The sequence below is a fragment of the Homo sapiens genome, chromosome 10 (assembly GCF_000001405.40).
Source record: "Homo sapiens chromosome 10, GRCh38.p14 Primary Assembly".
Classification (NCBI taxonomy): domain Eukaryota; kingdom Metazoa; phylum Chordata; class Mammalia; order Primates; family Hominidae; genus Homo; species Homo sapiens.
In genome coordinates this window covers 78,799,599-78,808,704 of record NC_000010.11, presented here as the reverse complement: position 1 = coordinate 78,808,704, position 9,106 = coordinate 78,799,599, and the positions used below count along the sequence as shown (strand labels likewise).

Genomic DNA, 9,106 nt, shown 5'->3' with positions numbered 1-9,106 from the left:
GAGGGGCTGCTTGGGTCTGCCCAGCTGGTGGCTGTCACCCCCTAGGTCTCCGAACAGGAGGAGGGTGGCAGGTATTGGATGGCAACGTCGCCTCTCATGGGGCCTTCTGATCAGACGGGCCCTTGGCAGGCTCCTAATTTGTCTCCTCCTCGCAGTGTCAGTATCAGTTTTCTGATGCAGAGGGACCCTGGTAATGAGTTTCTATTAAAAGAGCTGAATCTCGACTCTCGGAACTCAATGTTCAGAATAAACAATGGGGCAGAATCCTATTAAAAAAGGCTTCCAACATGGACAAATTAAACCCTTGGGAATGCTGTACAAAGAATACATTTTTCCAGTGTCGAAGCAAGATCAATAGAGAAAAACAAATAATTTCAAGTAGGAGTCATCATAATGACACCCAGGTACAGGCAGGGGTTGGGTGCGTTATTTTGGCCTGAGGACACCCCAGCAAAGATAATGAGAGAGCGGAGGGCTGGAGCTCGTCTCGGGTGTGAGGGATGTCTGGGTCTCCCGGGCAGCTGAGGGAGGAAGATGTCGTGTCTCATTTGTCTCTGTCGAGGATCCCTCTTTCTCTGGGGGATTGTTAAGCCCACGGAGCTGTGCTTAGCCCAGTGAGGACTGGGGTAAGCCTGTGGAGGGGGTGGGAGACCCTGGCTTTGTTTGCGAGGGGATAGATCTAATCTCTGCACAGGCTGGGCAGGGTAGCTGTGTCTGCCTCACACCCAAGCGGAGGGAAGTGCCCCAGACATCTGCACAGATGCCTGAATTTTCACCACCAAGCCTTCACCCCAGCCCTGCTCTCTCCGCTTGGAGACTGTTCTGTGAAAATTGCTCTTGCAGTACCTAATTTTATTCCCTGGAGCTAAGCAAAATCATACTCATCATTCCTGGCTGATCTCGAGTCCCTCCCTCTTTGGGAAACCTTTCCTGAGTACTTCCCACCTCTTCCAGGTTCCTAATGGTCTGATAACACCCTCGAGTGTTTGTCTCGTCTGGCTCCTGCCTCCCCCAGCATCCTGCCTTGGAGACTGTCCCAGGGCTGTTGGCTGTCCTGTTGATTCATTTAGTCAGTGCGCCCCCTCCCATATCTTGCAGGGACCACTTTGTTCAATCCAGCCCACCCCACAGTCACTGAGCATGGGCCCCATGGTCATGTCCGTGTTGAGCTCTGGGAAAGCCAAGGTTGACTGAGACACAGGCTAGGAGCCCTTGAAGGCAGGAACTCTTTCAATCCTCAAATTTGGCCCAGCTGCCCCTGTTATAAAATGAGGCAACAGAGGTCCAGAGGAAGGCAGTCATGGAGTCAAGGTCACACAGAAGTGGGCAATGGAGCCAAAACTGGAACCCAGTGCTACTGCCTTCCTGCAGCAAAGGCATGCTAGGGTCTCACTCCACACAAAGTGCTATTCTGCATGCTCTGTGTATTAATGCTTTTATACTGCACATAGTATCCTAGGTAGGTACTGTATTTTCCTCATTTTACAGGCAAGGAAACTGACGCATAGAGAAGTTAGGTAACTGACTCAAGACCTTAAACTTCAAAGGTGTGGTCAGGCCTCCTGGCTCCTGGCCAGCTTTCTTTCCTCTGCCTTGCCCAGGAAGATTGTGGAGAGTGGGTCATGGTGCAGGCAGACATGGGGAGAGGAAAGGGTCTGGGGACCTGGCCTCAGTGGAGGGCAGGAAGGGGAGGATGGCCCTGAGTTGCTTGCATCCCTGTCTGGCTCAGCACACACGCCCACTGTGTGGAACCAGTAGGAGTTACTCCTCTGTGGCTCCTCCTGCCTTCTCTGGAGATTGCAATCACACAGTAGCTCACTCAATAAAGGCCCTAAGAAGTCCTGAAACAGCTTTGCTTTTCCCAGTGTCTGCCAGACCTATGTGACAGTGGAGGCCCTTTCTTGTCACCTCAGAATGCTTCTTAATATCACATGCCACTCCTCTTGAGAAAGTCCCCTCTGCAACACAGCTGGACAGAGTGAGGAGTGAGTGACTGAGACAAGAAGTTGTGTAGTGGCAGCCCCAACAATGTGGATTTTCCTAGATGCCAAGGGAGGAGGAACTTCCAGGGTGGGGAGCAGGTCAGGCAAATTGAAAGCCTCACAGTTGCTGTGGAGGATGAGGTCTTGGACAGCCCTCGGATTTGGTGAGGAGGAGTCTGGGATACAAATCACACACATGTGCCCAAGTTAGTTGCTGGTGGGGTGCAAATCATTGTGGTAGCTTTGATGGGATGAGGGGCTGGTTTATCCATTAAAATTCAAAATGCACATACCTTATGATGTGGCAGTTCCACTTTTCTCTATTTAGCTAAGAGAAACACTTATGCATGGGCTCATGGAGGCCTGTTTAAGGGTGTGTACTGCAGCCTTGCTGGTATAAGTGTCAGAAATGGAAACAACCTTAGTGACCACGAGTAGGAGAATGGCTAGAGACTTTATGGTAAGAGTATACTTCAGCAGCTAGAAAGAATGGGACGATGTTTATGCAAGAGCCTATTGGATTAACAAAGCAAGGGGCAGAGTGATACATACAGCATAATACTTCTTAAGTGAAAAAATGTACAATTCTGTAATCTTGTGCACATATACATGTACATATGTATACATACACACAAGCACATACTTGCGCTCACACACAGACACTATAACACTGGTAGTTAAGAGAGAAAGCTCTAAAATCCAGAATTTCTTTGACTTGTAGCTCTGCCACTTGCTAGATTTGTAACTTTGAGCAGGCAACTGAATGTAACTGTACCTCAGTTTGCTCATCTGTAAAATATGGATAATTATATTTCAACCTCAAGGAATTATTGAGCATATTAAATGATTAACTGAGTTAACATGAGCAAAATACTAGTGAAAGTGCCTGGCCCATGGTAAGGGTGAAACAGTTGTTACTGTGACCATATTTCATCTGTTTTAATATACACACATTTTTTCACATCTTAAACCAGCAATTGACAGCTCTTAATGTTGGGTCATTGTTTAGTCGGCAACTATTTTTCCTTCCTGGTAGCACATAAAATAGTGGCACAACTTACAATGGAAGGCATCTTAGGTTCAATGAAGTAGAATATTGTTTCTAGGTAAAATCTACTAGGGCTCCATACTTGGGATAGAAGCACAAGTCAGTTCTGAGACACACACATCCAGCTTATACCAGTGGTTTCTTTTGGAAAGAATGTTGGAAGGGGTGGTGTCAGGAGGCCTGCAGCCTTATCAGGACTGTCTTAGTGTTTTACAAGCAGCATGTACTCGTGTTTACATGTGGTTTCACTTAGCGTTGCTTGGTTTCAGCCAGCAGACACTAACACTGGTTAACTTAAGCAAAAAGGAATTTATTGGCAGGATGTCGGGAGCTCACAGAAGTGACAGGAGCCCAGAGAAGCAGGCTTGGGGAAGGCGGGAGCCCAGGCCTCTGCCAAGGGCCTGGATTAGGAGCCACAGCCACCACCTTGTAGTGGGAAACATCTGGTCCGCATGCTGCCAAGGCTGAGACAAACGCCCTCCAACCTTGTCCTCTGTCTCCGGGTCTAGTGGCTTCTGTCATTCTTTCTGGTTGTCTGTCATCGGATGACCCCTTCTTTCTAGGCTTGATAAATCCCCTACCTTAAAAGTGTTGGGGTTGGGGAGTGGCAGAGTCAGCCTCCCACCATGGACTGGGCTGCAAATCTGCATAGTTCCCATGCCCTTTGAGTCCATGCAAAGGCATGTGCCCAGGTTGGTGACTGGAGGAAGCAATGGCATGGAACAGGGCAAGACACATCTATGCTGGTGGTAGGAGGCTGGGGCAACAATCATAGCAGCCGTGTCCACTTCCAGGGGCAGTGCTGTTCAGAATAGCAGTGTCTGTGCCTGGCATCTGGAGCAAGCTGTGGCAGCCTGGGCAGCGATGTTCACGTGGGGCTGGCTTCCTAAGGACACTTTGGCTGGGATCCTGACTATGGCCCGGACTGCCTTGATGCTGCCTGTTTCTGAGCCTGGTTCCCAGCCTTCCCTGTGAATCTGTGAGCTACCTCACCTCCTTTGGAACACATTCTCCTTTCTGCTTCAATCCTGACCAAGTTGGATTCTGTTGCTGGTAACCAAGAAGCCTGTCCGACACCCTGCATCCCTCCCTCCAGATGCAAACTCTCAGAAAAGAGGTTGGGGCACGTGCCTGCTCCCTGGGGAGGACCAGGAGACGTGGGGAGCTGGATTTGGCCTTTTGGCTTTTGTAATGGGAGGCAGGAGCCTAGAATCCTCCTCTACCAAGAACACACACAATGGGAAAGAGGCAAATTCTGAAAGGAAATCAGGCTGTTGTTAGTGAGGGGTTGTGGAGGTGGGACTTGCAAAACATGACAAATGTAGACTATCCTTGTTTAACTATTATTTAAAACAAATAGAATGTATGCTCTGCTTGGAGGAAACAGATTCATTCATTCATTCATTCAACAAACTGACTGCCAGCTACATATATATACATAAACAGTCAGGCACTGGGGGTGTAATGATGACAGCCTTCTAGGGGCCCGAGTCTGGTGCTGGTACCAGGTCAGTGGACAGACAGGGACAGGCAGTGGGCCCAGTGTTGCAAACCCAGATAGTCCTGTGTCAAGACCCCTCAGTCCCAGGCAAACTAGGGAGTTAACACTTTGGATCCTAACAAGTTGATCCTGAAAAGACAGGAAATTGGCGTGGCAGGCCTGTGGGTAGCGGGGCAGAACATCAGGGCTGGAGATTTCAGGTAGACTTAGAAAGGGGATGAGGGGATGGCCTGAGGCCAGCAGTGGTGGCAGGGATGCAGCCTCTGGCAGAAGAAGGCCTTGGAGCCCAGCCTTGGCAACTGGAAAGGGGGCGAGGAGAGGAAGGAGAGCCCCAGGAGGGGAGGAGGAGATGAGCAAAGGCCAGGAGGCTCTAAACGGAGGGGCCACCGATCTTGGCGTAGGGATCGCCTTCGACCATGTGTCATGGAGGATCCAAAGAACAGCTGCTTCATCTAACAGTGATGAAGGTCCAAGGACAGTGTGGGGGCTCCATGAAGCCATGGGGGCCCGGGCTGCTTCCTGCTCTTCCGCCGTCTTTGGTTATCTCACAGCTCAAGATGAAGATGGCAGATCCCCCTGCAGCCTCACGCTCATGTCTGGAGGTCAGACACAGGGCAGGGGAAAGAGCAGCGGCTAAAGGAGAAGGGCAAAGCTTTCCAGTCATGCCCTCCAGAAACTCATGCTTCTGGTTGGCCAGGTCTGTCACAGGGTCTCCCCTGGTTGACAGGGAGGTGGGACATGCAGCACTTCTGCTGATTTGAACAAATTCAAGGGTTCCATTTGTAAGAAAGAAAAGGGGAGCAGCTATTGTGGAGCTAGCTAGCTGAGTCTACCCCAGGAGGGTCTCCTGGGACTCTACAAAACACCCAGTGTCCTCACTGCCCACCACAGGACCCAAGCCCCCGCAGCAGGGCCCCGTGGCCATCCTGCCAGTCTCAGCTTAATCCTCACCCCAGGGTACAACTGGCTGCCCCAGGCCCCTCCTCTGTTCTCCTCCCAAGAAAGCCAGATGGCAGGCGGAGTGGCTCTGTCTCCTGGCAGGGTCCTGGGGACTCGCCCCTCTCTGCCTGAACGGCTGTGCCCCCTCCCCACGCGCTTCCTGCGGCCTGGAGCCCAGCCTCTCTCCAAGTGGGACTCGCCCTTCCTCCTCCAGCACAACGCCCGGAGTGAGCCTGCCCATCTGGTTCTATTTCACTCCATGTTACTCATCAGGATGTGTTTGCCAGGAGTTATTTGATGTTCAGGAAGAATTCTGAAGCTTTTGAAAAGAAGTAAATAAAATCTTTTCTCTCCCAGAGAGTCGTGAAATTGCCTTTTGCTGAGGAGACGGCAGGCGCCCATGTGGGGTCCAGCAGTCCCTGCCTGGCCTGGCCCAGGGAGCTGGTATTCTGGGGTTTGCCCTTGTGCCTGTGGCTCCCCCATATTCCTGGGCTCAGGTGGACCTCCCCAAGAGACCATTCTAAGACTTTCCTGATCCTCTTGTGATGCTCAAATTTGGGTACAGAAGAAGGCAGCCGTCAGGGACGCTCAGCCTGTCTTTTGCTCTCTGGCCAAGAAAGCTTTTAGGAAGAGCTCCTCCCTACTCACTGCCATGTCTGGGCCATACGGCCTGTACTGATGAGAACGTGTGAGCTGCAAAGGCAACAGAGCTGGAGCTGGGACCCACAATCTTGCATTCTCTGCTGCAGAGGCAGCCTGCAAGGGTAGGGACAGAGTGCCTGGCCCTGAGAAGACCTGATCTGCTGCAGCCGGGTGATCACAGGCAAGGGGCTTCACCTCCCCACCTTCTCCTCCCTTCTCCTCCTTTCTGAGTAAACGGCAGAGCCCACTGGATGTTAGGACATCCAGAAAAGAGAGGGACACCAGTGCCACCTCTCCAGGTCCCAGTCCATCCCAGCATCACCCTCCCCTTGGACCCACACTGCCTCCTACCTTTCCCCTCCATGCCTTGTTGTGGCAAGGCTGGAATTTTCCAGATAAGTTTTAGTAAACAACCAAACAGATGTTCACTGGCAAGTGCTCAGGTTCTTTTGGCCCCTGGGGACCGCCCTGCCCCTGACCTAGCTGGTTTGGGCACGGGGTTACACTTAAAGCATCCGGCTGAAAGGATGAACCAGTGCATGGAGGATCACTCCTGGGGCAGAGGAGGTCATGTCCTCACCCTTTCTTTCCTAATTGTGTCCATGCTTTCTTCAAGTCCCCACAGTGAGTGGCCAGTTGGTGGGTGTGGATCCACCCTCCGTCACTCTCCATTTGTCCTCCCTGCTGATGCGTGGCACCTCCAGAGGGTTGATCCTCTCCAGCCATCACATGGCAAACCCTGCAATTCACACAGCTCCCCTCCTAGAGCATCCTCATGACAGTTTACAACCCAGACTATTAAACATTGATCACTCAAAATTTAACATCCCATCTTCCCTTTGATATCCTCAACTGCTCTCTGCATAAGACAACAAGCCAGCTTTCTGCAGCTCAGCATGAGGGAAGACTTCAAAGCTGCCTTCCCACTCCCCCACTCCCAGCAGCTCTGGCATTCCACAAGCAAGACTGCCAAGTGGATGGGGACCACCACCAGCCTCACCTTCAGAACTCAGACCAATGAGGGATATCCCTGGATTCTGGTCTTGGATTAAGAATCTGGGATGATTTGAGCACAATCAGGACTCAAGGGCACCTTGGCTCTCTCTAGAAGCAGCTGTGGCTATTGGGAAATTATTTAGCTTGGGAGTCTAGTGGGGCGGCATTTGAATCCCAGAGATGCCCCCTTGCCTGCTCTGGAACCTTAGAAGATGTGCTGAGTCCTCACAAGTGAAACGGAGGTGAGAATACCCCTCTCTTAAGCTCCTGGAGAGGATTAACTCAGAGGCTGGAAGTGAGAGTGCCTGCCCCATAGCAGATAATCAGAAGGTGGCCATTCTGTCTCCCCTCTGAAGAAGAGTTTCTTCCCCCAGATAGTGTGAGTGCGTTCGTGGGAAGGATGGATGCATTGGTGGCTTTGTGAAATAGGTGATTTTGAACTCTTCAGTGGGTGGCCACGTGCATAGACATTGCTGACATGCTGATTACAAGCATTACCATCCTTTCGCTCAGGCCGCCGCCCAGGGGCCCATATTTTATTAAAACTATATGAATTAGAATAGTGGCCATTTATGGGACATTACCCACAGACCAGGCACTGGGCAAAGTGATTTACTCGTATCTCTCACATCAGCCTGTAAGGAAGGTTCTCTCACTGGGCCCTGTTTCCAGATGAGAATCTTGAGGGTGACAAGGGGAACCACCTCAAGAAAATGGCAAAACTGGGACCTTAAACCAGGTCAGCTAGATGCTGAAGTCCTAGCTCTTGGTTGTACTGGCCTAGTTTAAAGGCACGCAGTACTATGCATACCTGAAACTCATTGGCATTAATAAACTGCATGCAGATTCTATCAGTGAGCATGTGAATCTCCTCTCCAGATGGATGATAGCACAGTCATTTGTACACACGAGGGATTTATATGCTCTGGCATGGCTAGAGAACATATCAGCGGACTGCCTGCAGGCTACCAGTTTGCTCCTGGAATCCACCTGCAGGACAGTGTCTCAGAGCCTTGGTGGTTTGTACTGGAACACTGGTGTGGTGGAGAGGAACTCAACACCTCCAAGGCAATTCTATTCCACTTCACAAACCATTTTTGAGAATCCATCAGTGTAAAGAGTAGTGCCAAGCCATAAACAGCAAGTTCAGGGCCAGTCCCCTCATTTCCCCAGCCCCTGAGAACAAATCCTGGTACCCCTTCCCTTGAAACCTGGATATAGCCTCAGTCCTCCCTAATGCCACCCTCTAGCCCTCCGAGTTGCTGAGTTGAGTAGGAAACCTGCTGCCATCCCTGTGCTGGGGGATTTGCACAGTAAGAAGGAAGCCAATTGCAATGGAGTAGTCTCCGAGCAGCAGGAAGGCTTGAAACTCCTCTCTTATTCTGGCACATCCTCTGCCGCATCCCTGAAACTTGGCCATCGGCACTGGTGCTGCCTTCCGGGGCTGTGCAGAGCCAGTCTGCCATTTGTCAGAGATTGGAGAGCAATGTTATGTCCCCAAGTCTTCTCTTTTGCAGGTCAAATGTCTCCAGTTCCTTTCATCCAAAATGTCCTGCTTTGCATGGCTCTGAATCCTCTAACTTTGCAGGGGAGAGTGAGAAGACAAAAGGCTAGGAGAGGAGCTAGGAGTATGGCTACCACCTTCCAGGAGAGCTGCCAGGGCCCAGATGGGGGCATAGCACCCAGGAGGAGAGGAGGAGGCAGGGCAACCACGGCAAACGGTGACTTGAACCCCCTTCCCAACCCCCCTCATCCTGGATGTTCGTGGAACCCTCCCTGTGTCCTTCAAAGAGAGATCAGAGATACAAAGCTGCACTTAAGCCACTCAGAGCCAAGCATGGGTGAACAGCACCTTGCCTAGCAGCCTACCTGGTAACACAGGGAAACTGCTGATGTTCCCTGAAATTGTAGGGTGGGGCTCTAGGGCTTGATAATACCACTTTCTGAGGTGTCACCTGCACCTGTCAAGGGCGACAGGTATTTTCTTTCTTGAAGAAG

General features: G+C 51.2%; 1 annotated feature.

Annotated features, from left to right (window-relative positions):
- Positions 6,699-7,236: an enhancer, noted in NCBI's record as "OCT4-NANOG hESC enhancer chr10:80561226-80561763 (GRCh37/hg19 assembly coordinates)". NCBI's record gives its function as "activates a minimal SCP1, AML or CMV promoter by ChIP-STARR-seq in naive H9 embryonic stem cells {active_cell/tissue: H9 hESC(naive)}" and the evidence as "EXISTENCE:reporter gene assay evidence [ECO:0000049][PMID:30033119]".